General features: G+C 55.9%; 2 protein-coding genes across 12 annotated transcripts in view; one reads left to right on the forward strand and one right to left on the reverse strand.

Moving 5' to 3' along the window:
• On the reverse strand, positions 1 to 1,704 carry LOC124905300 (vegetative cell wall protein gp1-like). Its single transcript, XM_047442785.1, has 4 exons — positions 1,664 to 1,704; positions 1,447 to 1,484; positions 769 to 1,139; positions 1 to 528 (listed from the first exon to the last, which is right to left on the reverse strand). The coding sequence occupies exons 1-4, from the start codon at positions 1,702 to 1,704 to the stop codon at positions 1 to 3; spliced, it is 978 nt and encodes a 325-aa protein (XP_047298741.1).
• PLCXD1 (phosphatidylinositol specific phospholipase C X domain containing 1) overlaps positions 1,063 to 17,074 on the forward strand; it is a 27,001-nt gene continuing 10,989 nt past the window's right edge. For 2 of the 11 annotated variants that reach the window (NR_028057.2, NM_001370370.1), the window contains exons 1-6: positions 1,063 to 1,101; positions 6,189 to 6,391; positions 8,874 to 9,021; positions 13,440 to 13,576; positions 15,355 to 15,483; positions 16,206 to 16,361. Coding sequence is in view for 9 of the 11 variants with exons in the window: in NM_001370370.1 (NP_001357299.1) it covers positions 8,895 to 9,021; positions 13,440 to 13,576; positions 15,355 to 15,483; positions 16,206 to 16,361 (549 nt within the window). In the remaining 2 variants the exon portion in view is untranslated. Of the gene's footprint in view, positions 1,102 to 1,459; positions 1,475 to 5,865; positions 5,964 to 6,087; positions 6,392 to 8,184; positions 8,259 to 8,393; positions 8,741 to 8,873; positions 9,022 to 13,439; positions 13,577 to 15,354; positions 15,484 to 16,205; positions 16,362 to 17,074 lie in introns of those variants that run through there. The other 9 variants (NR_163416.1, NM_018390.4, XM_047442741.1 and 6 more) reach the window with 8 other exon arrangements.

The raw sequence follows: 17,074 nt of genomic DNA on the forward strand, positions 1-17,074 counted from the left end.
TTAGGATGGAAAGAGGCGGAGAGGCCGGTGGCCTGTGGCTTGTAGGCCGACCAGATGTCCCTGTGCCAGGACAGCAGCCGCCCTCAAGGTACCCCACAGCTGGGGTGAGGGAGGAAACAGGGAGCCGGGACAGAAATGGGGTGCAGGGAGAGAAGCCCCAGCCGTGGCTATGCGGGAGAATTCCACCCGGGAACATGGGATCCCAAGGCAGCCCTTTGAGCCGTCCACTGCGGCCCCCAAACGTTCCGTGCACTCTCTGAAGCCCACACTGGCCCTGTCCTGGAGTCCAGCCCGGGGTGGGAGACAGCGGGGTGCGTGGGGAGCACCTGCGGGGTGGACCGGAAGCAGCCAGGAGGAGGCAGGAACGGGGCCCTGGACAGACCCCTGACCTGGGCTCCTGGTCAGCTCCAGGTTGGCTCGGGGGGGGAGATCGCAGGCGTGGGCTGCGCTGGGAGGAGCCACTTCCACCGACGGAGGCGGCACGGGCTGCCCAGGGTCCGGGCCACGCGGGGCGGGAGAGGTCGGAACCTGCAGGGGGAAGATCCCGGTGGGTTTGCTGGCCAAGGCGCTCAGAGCCTGCAGGCTTGGGACTGCCGGCCCCATGCGTTGACCCCAGGGCCGAGATGAAAGCACCTGTTCACCCCGTCCTGGGGGCTCCGGGAGACCCACCGCAGCCGCGGCCAGTGGCCCGAGTGGGGCCCGTCAGTCAGACACCTCAATGTCCCCTGCAAGGGCCCCTCTGACCACAGAGAACCCGTGGGCACACACCTCTGGGACGTCCTTGCTGTCTCTAAGCCCCTGACCGGGGGACCCCGGGGACACCTTGTTGGGACACACCGTGGGGTCCCCTGGGAGGGGTCTTCCGGTCCCCAGTCCTGGTCTGTGGGGTCCCCGTGGGAGTTCAGGGCGGTGTTTGCAGCCCAGCCGGTCCCGCTCCTGCGGTGGGGACAGATCCGTGGCGGGGGCGGGCTGTCCCTCCTCCTGGTGGCAGGAGTGTCCGCGCCACAGCCAATCGCAGCGGACTGGGTGTGTTTTAGGAAGAGTGTCCCGCAGAGACCCGGCGGGAGCTGCCAGGAGCTCTGGGATTCCAGCGGCTGGAAGGTGAGTGTGTCTACCCCGTTCTCCTGATGGCAAGTCCCCTACGGGGGACGTGGCGGGTGCCGTCTGTGCCTGTTGTGGGCTGGGAATCAGGAACCCGCGCTTCCGTCATTGAGGCTCCTTCTCCTCCTCCTGGGACCCTTAGCTGGGGGCACGGGCAGGGGGTTCAGGGGGAGGGTCGCCTGGGATCTGTGGCCTGGACGTTGGCAGCCACAGGCGGCCTGCACCCCTTGCAGACCGTGAATTCTCTGCCGGGTCAGAGCCGCGGAGCCAGTGTGGAAACAGCCCAGGACGGTTATGAAATGAGCCCGGGGGCCACGACTTGCTTGGCCGGTTGGACGTCCTCACCCTGCCGCCGGGGCCTGCGTGGGGACGGGTCGGGACAGCTGGGACGGTGGGGATGTTGGGGCACTGGGAATGCTGGGATCTGAGCACCCCTGTCCTTCCGTTGATTCACCCAGCAACCATTCACCCCGTGCGTTGAATGTGCGCGTCACGGCCACTCACGCCTCTGGGACGTGAGTCTCCCGAGGACTCAGCGGGCGGGAAGGTGTAGGTGTCTCACCCCGCCTGGCGGGTCACCGGGCGTCTGGGCCCGTCCGTCATCTGCGCTGTCCCGCCGCGACCGTGAAGGCCAGGGTGGAGAGGACCTCCCCCAGGAAGGGTCAGTGCTCCGTGGGACGGCCTCCAGACCCCACTCCGCTGTGCCGTCCGGACGAGATGGCAGAGGTGGCTGGGAGTGGGGGCCGCCCCCGGGGCTCCTTCCTGCTCCACTTTGTCATGTGTGGGGAAGGCGTCGGGGGACCTGGGGACAGGAGGGGGCGCCCCTCAGTGGTCAGGGGACTTGGGATGTGAGGGGAGGGGTCAGGGGGAACGTGGGGACAGATGTGGGGATAGGAGGGGACACCCCTCAGTGGTCAGGGGACCTGGGATGTGAGGGGAGGGGTTGGGGAACGTGGGGACAGGTGTGGGGACAGGAGGGGACACCCCTCAGTGGTCAGGGGACCTGGGATGTGAGGGGAGGGGTCAGGGCACGTGGGGACAGGAGTGGACACCCCTCAGTGGTCAGGGGACCTGGGATGTGAGGGGAGGGCTCAGGAGGACATGGGGACAGGTGTGGGGACAGGAGTGGACACCCCTCAGTGGTCAGGGGACCTGGGATGTGAGGGGAGGGGTCAGGGCACGTGGGGACAGGAGTGGACACCCCTCAGTGGTCAGGGGACCTGGGATGTGAGGGGAGGGCTCAGGAGGACATGGGGACAGGTGTGGGGACAGGAGTGGACACCCCTCAGTGGTCAGGGGACCTGGGATGTGAGGGGAGGGGTCAGGGCACGTGGGGACAGGAGTGGACACCCCTCAGTGGTCAGGGGACCTGGGATGTGAGGGGAGGGGTCAGGGCACGTGGGGACAGGAGTGGACACCCCTCAGTGGTCAGGGGACCTGGGATGTGAGGGGAGGGCTCAGGAGGACATGGGGACAGGTGTGGGGACAGGAGTGGACACCCCTCAGTGGTCAGGGGACCTGGGATGTGAGGGGAGGGGTCAGGGGGAACGTGGGGACAGGTGTGGGGATAGGAGGGGACACCCCTCAGTGGTCAGGGGACCTGGGATGTGAGGGGAGGGGTCAGGGGGAATGTGGGGACAGGTGTGGGGATAGGAGCGGACACCCCTCAGTGGTCAGGGGACCTGGGATGTGAGGGAGGGCTCAGGAGGACATGGGGACAGGTGTGGGGACAGGAGTGGACACCCCTCAGTGGTCAGGGGACTTGGGATGTGAGGGGAGGGGTCGGGGGACGTGGGGACAGGAGGGGACACCCCTCAGTGGTCAGGGGACCTGGGATATGATGAAGGTGACGGGAGGGGAGGGACTGTGACGGGGGAAGGGACTGTGATGGGAGGGAGGGAGTATGACAGTAGCCGGAATGGATGGAATCCGTCATGACACAGAGGATGTGAGTGTACAGCTTTGGGTCCAGCCTGTCCTAGGAGACACTGATTTCCTCGAGTCTTCTGAACCAAAAAGTATCTGAGACAGGTCTCAGGACATTTAGAAAGTGTGTTTTGCTGGCCGGGCACGGTGGCTCACGCCTGTCATCCCAGCACTTTGGGAGGCCAAGGCGGGCAGATCACCTGACGTCAGGAGTTCAAGACCAGCCTGACCAACAAGGTGAAACCCTGTCTCTACTAAAAATACAGAAATTACCTGGGTGTGGTGGTGGGCGCCTGTAGTCCCAGCTACTTGGGAGGCTGAGATAGGAGAATTGCTTGAACCTGGGAAGCGGAGGTTGCAGTGAGCCGAGATTGCACCACTGCACTCCAGCCTGGGAGACAGAGCAAGACTCCGTCTCAAAAAAAAAAAAAAAAAAGTGTGTTTTGCTAAGGTTGAGGACGCGCCTGTGACCGAGCCTCAGGAGGTCCTGACGACCTGTGCCCTAGGTGGTCGGAGGACATCTTGGTATTATGCATTTTAAGGAAACGTCAGACATGAATCCATACGTGTAAGACGAACCTTGGTTCTGTCAAGCGCGTCGGTGCGAAGAGACCCCCGAACAGGCTTTGTGTGAGCGATAAAGCGGTTCATTCACTTGGGTGCAAGTGGGCTGAGTCCGAAGAGAGAGTCAGCGAAGGGAGATGGGGGAGGGGTGGCTCAATAGGAGTTGGGTAGGTAATGGAAAATTACAGCAAAAGGTGGTTATCTATTGTCAGCAGAGGAGGGATTGCAAGGTGCGTGGTGCACAGATCATAAGACTCATTGTCCAGAGGACGAACGGCACAAAGTCGATTGATCGGCTAAGGTAGGGCAGGGAGAACTCACGATAGTAAAATGTTGTAATTTTAGTTAACCAGTTAAGGCAGGAACTGGCTGTTTTACTTCTCTGTGGTTTTTCCTTGGCTGCTCCAGACTTCTTGGCTCCTGCAGGCCACCTGGACGTATATGTGCAAGTCACAGGGGTGATAATGGCTGAGCTTCGGCTCAGAGGCCTGACAGGTTCAATCGGTGAAGGTGGGACTGCTCCACTGGTGGTGAGGCGGGCTTCCAGGTCATAAGGTAGATTTTAAAATTTTCTGACTGGCAATTGGTTGAAAGAGTTATTATTAGGCCGGGCACGGTGGCTCACGCCTGTCATCCCAGCACTTTGGGAAGCCAAGGCGGGCGGATCACCTGAAGTCAGGAGTTCGAGACCAGCCTGGCCAACATGGTGAGACCCCCGTTGCTACCAAAAATACAAAAAATTAGCTGGGAATGGTGGCAAGTGCTTGTAATCCCAGCTGTGCTGGAGGCTGAGGCAGGCGAATAGCTTGAATCCAGGAGGCGGAGGCTGCAGTAAGCTGAGATCATGACACTGCACACCAGTCTGCGCAACAGAGCGAGACCCTGTCTCTGAAAAAAAAAAAAAGAAGAAAAAAAGAGTTATTAGTAGAAAGGAATATCTGCATTAAGATAAGAGGATGTGGAGACGAAGGTTTTTTGTTTTTGAACGGGAGTCTCACTCTGTCTCCCAGGCTGGAGTGCAATGGCGCGATCTCGGCTCACTGCAACCTCCGCCTCCCGGGTTCAAGCGATTCTCCTGCCTCAGCCTCCCAGTAGCTGGGACTACAGGCGCGCGCCAGCACGGCTAAATGATTTTTGTATTTTTACCAGTGATGGGGTTTTGCCATGTTGGCCAGGCCGGTTTCGAACTCCTGACCTCAGGTGATCCGCCCGCCTCGGCCTCCCAAAGTGTTGAAGTGCTCGAATTACAGGCGTGAGCCAGCGGGCCCCGCCCAGACCTGCATTTTAACCTCCCCTCCACCCCGCGGCCCCGGGACCCTGGGCATCCGGAGGCTCACAGCGGCCCTGCTGGGATGCTCCAGGCAGATCACTGCACAGCCCTGCAGGCAGAGGGGAGGCCGTGCAGGAGGAGGGGAGGCCGTGCAGGGGGAAGGGAGGCCGTGCAGGGGGAGGGGAGGCCGTGCAGGGGGAAGGGGGGCCGTGCAGGGGGAAGGGAGGCCGTGCAGGGGGAAGGGAGGCCGTGCAGGCAGAGGGGAAGACGTGCAGGGGGAGGGGAGGCCGTGCAGGAGGAGGGGAGGCCGTGCAGGGGGAAGGGAGGCCGTGCAGGCGGAGGGGGGTACGTGCAGGGGGCAGCGGAGGCCGTGCAGGGGGAGGGGAGGCCGTGCAGGGGGAAGGGGGGCCGTGCAGGGGGAAGGGAGGCCGTGCAGGGGGAAGGGAGGCCGTGCAGGCGGAGGGGGGTACGTGCAGGGGGCAGCGGAGGCCGTGCAGGGGGAAGGGAGGCCGTGCAGGGGGAGGGGAGGCCGTGCAGGGGGAAGGGGGGCCGTGCAGGGGGAAGGGAGGCCGTGCAGGGGGAAGGGAGGCCGTGCAGGCGGAGGGGAAGACGTGCAGGGGGAGGGGAGGCCGTGCAGGGGGAGGGGAGGCCGTGCAGGGGGAGGGGAGGCCGTGCAGGGGGAGGGGAGGCCGTGCAGGGGGAAGGGAGGCCGTGCAGGGGGAAGGGAGGCCGTGCAGGCGGAGGGGGGTACGTGCAGGGGGCAGCGGAGGCCGTGCAGGGGGAGGGGAGGCCGTGCAGGGGGAAGGGGGGCCGTGCAGGGGGAGGGGAGGCCGTGCAGGGGGAGGGGAGGCCGTGCAGGGGGAGGGGAGGCCGTGCAGGGGGAGGGGGGCCGTGCAGGGGGAAGGGAGGCCGTGCAGGGGGAGGGGAGGCCGTGCAGGGGGAGGGGGGGCCGTGCAGGCGGAGGGGGGCCGTGCAGGGGGAGGGGGGGCCGTGCAGGCGGAGCGGGGGGCGTGCAGGGGGAGGGGAAGCCGTCCTGGGCCTTTTCCAGCTGGCTGCAGAGAAGGGGCCAGCTCCCTCCTGGGGACCCGGAGCCGCGGTACAGGTGTGGTTGCTTCTCTTGGAGAAAGAGGCTGAGCTGACATCCCCCGGGCTGATAAAGAATGGGCTCCTCCTCCTGGGCCCAGCAGGCTCCCGGGACCCTCCCTCCCTCCCTCCCTCCCTCCCTCCTTCCGGGCAGCAGGGAAGATCTGAGTTCATGTAGCTGGTGTTGGCTTAGGGTCTGGGAGGAAGGCTTTTGGGAAGATGTAAATAAGAACAAAATCTGCAGCCACCTGGGAAGCCTGGCCTCAGTGTGGAAGAGAAGGCAGCAGGATTATTACAGAACCTTGTGAAGCCAACGCGGGCAGCCGCCAGGAGCTGCAGACCGAGAGGATCTCGTCCTTTCTTGCGGCCCAGGGAGACCAGGCCTTTCATTCTGGGCTCGAGACCAACAATTCGAATTCCGAACTCCCCCTGCGTGTGGGACTCAAGGTGGGTTTGCAGTTTGCAGGCAGCTGAAGTTTGTCTCTTCTCCAGGAGGCCGGGGCTTCTTCCCTTCCTCTCTGTCCCATTTCTTTTTTCTTGAGACAGAGTCTCACTTTGTCACCCAGGCTGGAGTGCAATGGTGTGATTGTGGCTCACTACAGCCCCCGCCTCCCGGGTTCAAGCCTCAGCCTCCTGAGTAGCTGGGATTACAGGCGTGCGCCACCACGGCCGGCTACTTTTTGTACTTTTAGTAGAAATGGGGTTTCACCATGTTGGCCAGGCTGGTCTCGAACCCCTGACCTCAGGTGATCCACCCACCTCAGCCTCCCAAAGTGATGGGATGACAGGCGTGAGCCACCGTGCCCGGCCCCTCCAGGTCTCATTTCTAAGAGGAGGCCTCAGGTCCACCAGGAAACATTCCTCAGATGTGAAACTGTCAACAGGCTGATTTCTGGGCTCAAGATCAACAATTCTAATTGATTTGATTAAATCAATTAGATCTAATGATTTTAATCTAATCAGTTTTAATCTAAATGATTAAAAATCTTACATACATTGCCGGGCGTGGTGGCGGACGCCTGTAATCCCAGCTACTCTGGAGGCTGAGGCAGGAGAATTGCTTGAACCTGGGAGGCGGAGGTTGCAGTGAGCCGAGATTGCATCATTGCACTCCAGCCTGGGTAACAAGAGTGAAACCCTGTCTTTAAAAAAAACAAAACAAAACAAAAAAAAAACCGTACATACAGCTGGGCACCGTGGCTCACGCCAGTAATCCCAGCACTTTGGGAGGCCGAGGCAGGCAGATCACCTGAGGTCAGGAGTTCAAGACTAGCCTGACCAAGATAGTGAAACCCCGTCTCTACCAAAAATACAAAAATTAAGCAGGTGTGGTGGCGGGCGCCTGTAATCCCAGCTACTCTGGAGGCTGAGGCAGGAGAATTGCTTGAACCTGGGAGGCGGAGGTTGCAGTGAGCCGCGATCGCGCCATTGCAGTCCAGCCTGGGCAACGAGAGGGAAACTGTGTCAAAAAAAAAAAAAAAAGACCAACCAAAAAAGTTATATACACTTCAGAGGCAGAGAAAGAATTTACAAGTTGTCTAAAATGTCCTTATGGAAAGGGTCACTTCCCTTATTTTCAACAGTATATTATATATATATACTTATATATGTATATATAGTGATGTATATATGTATATATGTTATGTATGTGTTATATATGTCTATATTATATATGTATATATGTTATACATGTATGTTATATATATATTATATATATATTATATATGTATATATTATATGTATAATATATATTATATGTATATATTATATATGTTATATATATGTTATGTATATAATATGTATATATGTATATATTCTGTTATGTGTGTATGTGTGTGTGTGTGTGTGTGTGTAGGCGACACGGACACACGTGGAGTGGTTTTAAGGAGCGGAGAGTTTAATAGGAAAGAAGGGAGGTCCGGGCAGTGGCTCACGCCTGTAATCCCAGCACCGCGGAGGTTGCGGTGAGCCGAGATCGCGCCATTTCACTGCAGCCTGGGCAACAAGAGCGAAACTGCGTCTCAAAAAAAAAAAAACCAAGGCGAGAAGGCAGAAAGAAGTGGCTCCCCTGGACTGAGACAGAGGGACGGGGGCTCCAAACCCCAGGCAGGAGACCAGCCCGTGTTATACGGTGCCTGGAGGAGGCGTGACTCATTTGCATAGCGCTGAGGGGATTGGTCTGACCAGGCCTGTCATTCACGTAGCCCGCGAAAAACCTGGCCCGCCCACCCCAGTTCCGTAATATGCAAATGTAGGGCGCCATGATGTTCCACACGCCTGAGGGTAGTGGGGGCGGCCGTGGTGTCAGGCCCGGGTGGGGGCGGCCTTGGTGTCAGGCCCGGGTGGGGGCGGCCGTGGTGCCAGGCCCGGGTGGGGGCGGCCGTGTTGCCAGGCCCGGGTGGGGGCGGCCTTGGTGTCAGGCCCGGGTGGGGGCGGCCTTGGTGTCAGGCACGGGTGGGGGCGAGGGCAAGAGGGCAACGGTGGGAATCGCCATGTGGGCTGGACCAGCTAAAGGCTCGCATTTGCATATTAAAGGTTGCCAAGCCGGGTCTAAGAGCCAGGGCTTTCACGCTAGACAAGAAACATTTTTTGGAGCTGCAAAAAATGCTTCCAAGGACCCCTTTTCCTCTCTCTCTCTCTCTTTTTTTTTTTTCTTTTTTGGATATGGAGTTTCACTCTTGTTGCCCAGCCTGGAGTGCAGTGGCGGGATCTCCGCTCACTGTAACCTCCACCTCCCGGGTTCAAGCGATTCTCCTGCCTCAGCCTCCCGAGTAGCTGGGATGACAGGTGCCACAGGTGCCCACCACCACGCCCAGCTAATTTTTGTATTTTTAGTAGAGATGGGGTTTTGTCAAGTTGGCCAGGCTGGTCTCGAACTCCTGACCTGAAGTCACCGTAAAAAACCTCTTTTCCTCTTCTCCTTCCTCAGGTTGCCCAGGGCTCACCTCTGATGGGTGGGCAGGTGAGCGCTTCCAACAGCTTCTCGAGGCTGCACTGCAGAAATGCCAACGAGGACTGGATGTCGGCACTGTGTCCCCGGCTCTGGGATGTGCCCCTCCACCACCTCTCCATCCCAGGTGAGGTTGGGGTGGGGCAGGGGCCGTTGCCTCTATCCCAGGTGACGGCAGGGTGGGGCGGGAGCTGTGGCGTCTGCATTCCCCAGTGGGGACGCTGGCTGTAGGAGCAATCCTGGGTGTAGGGAAATCCTAGAAAGCACACTGATGTGGACACACACATACACACAGTGCACACGTGTGTGCATACACATATGTACATAGTCATGGACATGCACAGACATGCATACACACAGGCATGCACACATGTGCACACATACACAGGCATACATGCACACACGCACACACGCACACACGCACACATGCACATCTGCACACGCACATCTGCACACACACATGCACATCTGCACACACACATGCACATCTGCACACATACGCATGTGCATACTGTGTTGGTCTGTTCTCACGCTGCTAACAAAGACATACCCGAGACTGGGTAATTTATAAAAGAGGTTTAATGGACTCAGTTCCACCTGGCTGGGGAGGCCTCACAATCACGGCAGAAGGTGAATGCGGAGCAAAGTCACATGTTACATGGTGGCAGCCAACAGAGCGTGTGCTGGAGAACTGCCCTTTGTACAACCATCAGATCTCGTGAGACTTATTCACGATCACGAGAACAGCATGGGAAAGACCCGCCCCGTGATTCGGTGACCTCCCACCAGGTCCCTCCCATGACAGATGGGAATTATGGGAGCTACAATTCAAGATGAGATTTGGGTGGGGACACAGCCGAGCCATATCACATACATAGGTGCACATAGGCACACATGCAGGCACACACAGACACATACATACACACACACATGCATGCGCACACACATACATGCATGCACACATGCACATCCCCACACATATGCACATGGATGCATATACATGCACACACACAGGTGTACACACATGCAGGCACATGTATACATGGATGTAGGCACATACTAATGCACACATGTATACATGCACATAGGCTCATACACACATGGATGCACATACACATGCATGCACATGTGCGGGTGTGTACACATGCACATGCACACGTGTACACATGTACACACATGCACACATGTATATATATATTTGCACCTATGCACACATATATACACCTGCAGATATACACAGGTGTAGACATGTACATGCACAGACACACGTGCACACATAAACATTTGCACCTATGCACGCAGAGACACGTCTATGCAATGCATGTATACACGTGTACACACGTACATGCATGCACACAGACATACACATGTACACATTTGCACCTATTCACATAGACATACATGAATGCACATATGCACACGTGTACACAGGCACACATGCACATGCACACGCGTGTACACACATGCACACACGTAGACACACGTCCATGCACACAGGAACACAGGTACATGTTTAAACACAGGCACACACATGCACACTCACATATAGGCATACGGACACACATACACATGCACACAGATACGTATTGTCAACCTAAGGAAATAAACTTAGACAAAATTAATATAAGTAGGGGGTTTCCTTGAGCCACATTTGAGGACTGCAGCCCAGGAAACCCTCCAACTCGCCTTAGGAAGTGGCTGTGGAGAACAACGTCGAGACGGGAGCTTCTAAAGAAAGTGCACATCAGGAGAGGGGGTGATGATGAAAGCTGTTTTTCAGGAATTCATGTGGGTTACTGAAGTGGCATCGAGCACTGATCGCGTTCTTCCTTGCAATGTAGGGAATGAGTTATGGTGCCCCAGTGTGACATCCTGAGGTTAATTTTTTTTTTTTGAGACGGAGTTTTGCTCTTATCGCCCAGGCTCGAGTGCAGTGGCTCCACCTCAGCTCATCGCAACCTCTGCCTCCTGGGTTCAAGCGATTCTCCTGCCTCAGCCTCCCGAGTAGCTGGGATTACAGGCACGCTCCACTATGCCTGGCTGATTTTTGTATTTTTAGCAGAGATGGGGTTTCACCATGTTGGTCAAGCTGGTCTCGAACTCCCGACCTCAGGCAATCCACCTGCCTCGGCCTCCCAAAGTGCTGGCATTGCAGACATGAGCTATTGCACCCGACATCTTAGGTTAATTTGTAGAGATGCGGGGCATCTGTCAGTCTAGAGCTGACCTAGTAAGTAGCTTCCAGGGGTGATACTGTAGCAGGACCAGCCGCAGACAAAACTCAGACACCGGATTAAAGAAAGAAGAGGTTTCTTTGGCCGGGAGCTTCGGCAGACTCACATCTTAAGAGCCGAGCTCCTTAAAAAAGAAATTCTTGGCCTTTTTAAAGGCTTACAACTCTGAGGGGTCCACGTGAAGGGGTCGTGATAAATCAAGCAAGTGTGGGGAACGTGACTGGGGGCTACATGTGTCAGCTAACAGAACAGAAAGTTTTGTAACGCTTTTTCATACAACGTCTGGCATTTACAGATAACAGAAGTGGTTTAGGTTATGGATTGATATTATTTTAACTCCCAGGGCTGGGTGGTGGTGCCAAGGTTGTCTGGCTATTTATCTTACTTCTGTTTCTTTCCAACCTTTTGCTTTCTCCTGTCTTATAAACTAGGCAAGGTGGGGGTAGGGGGCAGCAGGAGAAGTACTGGTCTCCTTCCTTAACACCTTAGCTCAAGATCGGGGGAGCAGGTGACTGTGGCTTCGTTCCAATGCCTCTCGGGGTCTGGGGATTTAAAGGGGGTCCACGTTCCTCAGAGGATGTAAAGGGGCTTCACGTTCCTCAGGGGATTTAAAGGGGGAAGGCCGGGCGTGGTGGCTCACGCCTGTAATCCCAGCACTTTGGGAAGCCAAGGCAGGAGGATCACTTGAGTTTAGGAGTTTGAGAGCAGCCTGGGCAACATAGTGAGGCCCCATCTCTGCAAATATGTATATACACACACACATTTATATGTAAGTGTACATATTTATATATAAACATACATATTTATATTTATATATAATATATAAATAAGTAAATGTAAAATATAAAATATATATCATATATTTATATAAATATATGATACATAAGTACATTTATATATTATATTTATAAACATAATATGTGGATATATATTTTATATATTTATATAAATACATATTTATGCAAAAATATGTATTTATGTAAATATATACTAATATATGTTTATATATAGATATATATACACTATATATGTTTATATATAGAATATATACTATATATGTTTATATATAGATATAGATACTATATATGTTTATATATAGATATAGATACTATATATGTTTATATATAGATATAGATACTATATATGTTTATATATAGATATAGATACTATATATGTTTATATATAGATATAGATACTATATATGTTTATATATAGATATAGATACTATATATGTTTATGGATATAGATACTATATATCTTTGTTTATAGATATAGATACTATATATGTTTATATATAGATATATGTCATATATATCTTAAATATATATATCTTAAATATAGATATATTTATATCTATATTTAAGAAATAACAACTACGTGTCATAGGCAGGAAATGCAAACGTCAGCCATCAGTCAAACTCTACAAAGGTCTGTGTTTCTTGCGGTTACCATAACAAGTGAGCACACGTCAGGAGGCGGCAAAGAACAGAAATTTACTCTCTCCCAGTTCTAGATACAGAAATCTGAAGTCAAGATATGGGCAGGACCACACGTCCTCCTGAGGCTCTAGGGGAGGGTCCTTCCTGCCTCTCCCAGCTCCTGGGGGCTCCAGGCATCCCTGGGCTTGTGGCCGCATCACTCCAGTCTCTGCCTCCATCTCCACGTGGCCTCCTCCTCTGGGTCTGTGTCTCCTAAGGACACCTGTCATTGCATTTAGGACCCAGCACAAAGCCAAGATGACTTCATCTTGAGCATTTTGAGAGCATGTGTAAAGACCCTATTTCCAAACAGGATCCCATTCACAGGTTCTGGGCAGGGGGTTAGGACTTGAACAGCTCTTTTGGGGATCACCACTCAAGTCATTGAAATTGTATTCAGTTCCTTCTAGAGGCTCTAGAGTGGGGGATCCTTCCTGCCTCTCCCAGCTCCTGGGGGCTCCAGGCATCCCTGGGCTTGTGGCCGCATCACTCCAGTCTCTGCCTCCGTCTCCACGAGGCCTCCTCCTCTGTGTCTGTCTCCTCCTCTTGTGTCTTAGACGGACACCTGTCACTGGATTTGGGGGCCCGCCCTACTCCAGGATGATCTCATTTCAACCTAATGATATCTGCAGAGACCCTGTTTCAACACGGGTCGTGTTCCCAGGTTCCAGTGGACGTGAGTTTTGGGGGTCAGCGTGCACCCCTCCCGCCATACCTGTGCCTGTGCTGTGGGCGGGCAGCAGCCTGTGCTGTAGGCGGGCTGTGGAGCGACTCACAGCAGGTGGCGGGGACGGACTCGTGGTGACATGTCCGCGTGTGTGCTTTGCTCTCAGGGAGCCACGACACGATGACGTACTGCCTGAACAAGAAGTCCCCCATTTCGCACGAGGAGTCCCGGCTGCTGCAGCTGCTGAACAAGGCCTTGCCCTGCATCACGCGCCCTGTCGTGCTGAAATGGTCCGTCACCCAGGTACGGTCTGTGCCCCGTGCTGCTGACCTGGCCTGTCAGCTATGTGGGGCCCACGGCCCCGTGGTGCTGAAATGGCCCCTCACCCAGGTAGGGTTTGAGTGGTGCCCTGTGGGCTCAGGAGGCAGGTTCCTATCCCAGCTGCGGAGACAGGATTAAAACAAAACCTGCTGCCCACCCAGAACCCCTCCCCAGAGGTGGAAGAGAGGGGAACAGTGTTTTTATTTATTTATTTTTTGAGACAGGGTCTCACTCTTCTTACCCGGGCTGGAGTGCAGTGGCGTGATCTCGGCTCACTGCAACCTCCGCTGCCTGGGTTCAAGCGATTCTCCTGCCTCATCCTCCTAAGTACCTGGGTCTACAGGCACCTGTCACCACACCTGGCTAATTTTTTGTATTTTTAGTAGAGATGGGGTTTTACCGTGTTAGTCAGGATGGTCTTGATCTCCTGACCTCATGATCTGCCCGCCCCAGCCTCCGAAAGTGCTGGGATTACAGGCGTGAGCCACCGCGCCCGGCCCAGCATTTTATTAAATGGCGTAAAGCTAATGCCGTGAGCATCGCAGGCCTCCACTGAGAGCTGCAGAGGGAGAGGGTCTCGCCCTGTTGCATCCCAGCAGAGACAACACCTTTCTTTTTCTTTCTTTTTCTTTTTTTTTTTTTTGAGACGGAGTCTCACTGCCGCCCAGGCTGGAGTGCAGTTGGTGCCATCTCGGCTCACTGCAAGCTCCGCCTCCCGGGTTCACGCCATTCTCCTGTCTCAGCCTCCTGAGTAGCTGGGACTACAGGCTCCCGCGACCACGCCCGGCTAATTTTTGGTATTTTGAGTAGAGTCAGGGTTTCACTGTGTTAGCCAGGATGGTCTCGAACTCCTGACCTCGTGATCCACCCGCCTCAGCCTCCCAAAGTGCTGGGATTACAGGCGTCAGCCACCGCGCCCGGCCGAGACAACCCCTTTCATGCCTGCACTCAAGACAGACAAGGACTCATTTCTCGTGTCTTTAGGACCTGAGGCGGGTCTGCAGTTTGCAGTCAGGCATCTGCTAGTCCCTGGGAAACAGGGAGACAGGCCCCTTTCTCCCTAATAATCACATTCATTCATTCCTTTAGAGATGGAGTCTCGCTCTCTCACCCAGACTGGAGTGCGGTGGTGCGATCTCAGCTTCCTGCAGCCTGGGCCTCCCAGGATCAAAGGATCCTCCTTCCTCAGCCTCCCGGGCAGCTGGGACTACAGGTGTACACCACCACACCCAGGCTGATTTTTAAAATTTTTAGTAGAGGCCGGGCGCGGTGGCTCACGCCTGTAATCCCAGCACTTTGGGAGGCCAAGGTGGGTGGATCACGAGGTCAGGAGATCGAGACCGTCCTGGCTAACATGTTGAAACCACATCTCTACTAAAAATACAAAACAAAATTAGCTGGGCGCGGTGGCGGGCGCCTGCAGTCCCAGCTACTGGGGAGGCTGAGGCAGGAGAACGGCATGAACCCGGGAGGCGGAGCTTGCAGTGAGCCCAGATTGCACCACTGCACTCCAGCCTGGGTGACAGAGCGAGACTCCGTCTCAAAAAAAAAAAAAAAAGGCCAGGTCCCCGGAGATGAGGTTTTCCAAATGCAGGTCCCCGTGGCTGCAGCGCTCCCAGCACATACAAACAGCTGTTGTTACGACATCCACGTCCCAGTGGGCAGCAGGACATGCGGGTGGGCCAACCCCACAGCCCATTCCTGAGCCCCCCAGACGCGGCGCTCAGCCAGGCAGACATGACAGCAGCCTCTGTCCACAGGCACTGGACGTCACAGAGCAGCTGGATGCCGGGGTGCGGTACCTGGACCTGCGGATAGCCCACATGCTGGAGGGCTCGGAGAAGAACCTGCACTTTGTCCATATGGTGTACACAACGGCGCTGGTGGAGGTGCGGCCGGGCTGAGGTGGGACGCAATGGGGAGAGTGGGAGGCGGCCGGGCACTGGTGCAGGTGCGGCCGGGCTGAGGTGGGAAGCAAGGGGGACAGCGGGAGGCGGCCGGGCACTGGTGCAGGTGCGGCCGGGCTGAGGTGGGAAGCAAGGGGGACAGCGGGAGGCGGCCGGGCGCTGGTGCAGGTGCGGCCGGGCTGAGGTGGGAAGCAAGGGGGACGGCGGGAGGTGGCCAAGCTCCCGTGGGGATGAAACAGCCACATGCAGATGTGGACAGGAAACGCCCGGTCTTTAATGGAAGGGTGACGTCACCTATACACCAGACAGGAGACACTGACCCCGCCAATCCGTTACGGAGATTTCTTTTTTTTTTGCTTTTTTTTTTTGGAGATGGAGTCTTGCTGTGTCGCCCAGGCTGGAGTGCAGTGGTGCAATCTCAGCTCACTGCAACCTCTGCCTCCTGGGTTCAGGCAATTCTCCTGCCTCAGCCTTCCAAGTAGCTGGGATTACAGACGCCGGACACCACGCCCAGCTAATTTTTGTATTTTTAGTAGATACGGGGTTTCACCATGTTGGCTAGGCTGGTCTCAAACTCCTAACCTCAGGTGATCCACCCGCCTCGGCCTCCCAAATTGCTGGGATGACAGGCGTGAGCCGCCACACCCCGCCTTCCCTGTGGTGTTGGAGTCGTGCAGGACTCAGCCCAGCACCCCCCTCCCCAGGACACACTCACGGAAATCTCGGAGTGGCTGGAGCGGCATCCACGCGAGGTGGTCATCCTGGCCTGCAGAAACTTCGAGGGGCTGAGCGAGGACCTGCACGAGTACCTGGTCGCCTGTATCAAGAACATCTTCGGGGACATGCTGTGTCCTCGTGGGGTGAGGAGGGGAAGGATATCCGCACGTCTCTCCCGGGGCAGGGGCATCGTCAGCCTCAGACTCCATTTGCTGTGCCCTGGGTGTGGGTGCTGCCATGATTCCTGTAGCAGGTGAAGCCGTCGAACGGGGGCTGCCTGCTCTCCCGCAGTGTGGGGGGCCCTGGCTGACCCGGTGGGGTGGCTCCTGGTGAGATCTGCTTCCCTTGACGGGTTTAGAAATGTGTGCAGCGTCAGCCGGGCGCGGTGGCTCACGCCTGTCATCCCAGCACTTTGGGAGGCCGAGGCGGGTGGATCACGAGGTCAAGAGATCGAGACTATCCTGGCCAACATGGTGAAACCTGGTGTCTACTAAAAATACAACAATTAGGCTGGGTGTGGTGGCTCACGCTTGTCATCCCAGGACTTTGGGAGGCCGAGGCGGGCGGATCACGAGGTCAAGAGATTGAGACTATCCTGGCCAACATGGTGAAACCCCGTCTCTACTAAAAATACCAAAATTATCTGGGTGTGGCGGTGGGTGTGCCGGACGCAGTGGCTCACACCTGTCATCCCAGGACTTTGGGAGGCCGAGGCGGGCGGATCATGAGGTCAGGACATCGAGACCATCCTGGCTAACACGGTGAAACCCCGTCTCTACTAACACAAAATACAAACAATTAGCCGGGCGTGGTGGCGGGCGCCTGTAGTCCCAGCTACTCGGGAGGCTGAGGCAGG

This window comes from Homo sapiens, chromosome Y, assembly GCF_000001405.40.
Source record: "Homo sapiens chromosome Y, GRCh38.p14 Primary Assembly".
Taxonomy (NCBI): Eukaryota; Metazoa; Chordata; class Mammalia; order Primates; family Hominidae; genus Homo; species Homo sapiens.

Bases quoted from the DNA above. Each gene is read 5' to 3' on its own strand.
- LOC124905300 (XM_047442785.1), bottom strand. From the start codon at position 1,704: ATGACGGACGGGCCCAGACGCCCGGTGACCCGCCAGGCGGG. The intron at 1,485-1,663 runs GTGAGACACCTA...CCACCGTCCCAG, and splicing joins CCGGTGACCCGCCAGGCGGG to CTGTCCCGACCCGTCCCCAC. The intron at 529-768 runs GTGTGTGCCCAC...TTCCCCCTGCAG, and splicing joins ACAGCAAGGACGTCCCAGAG to GTTCCGACCTCTCCCGCCCC.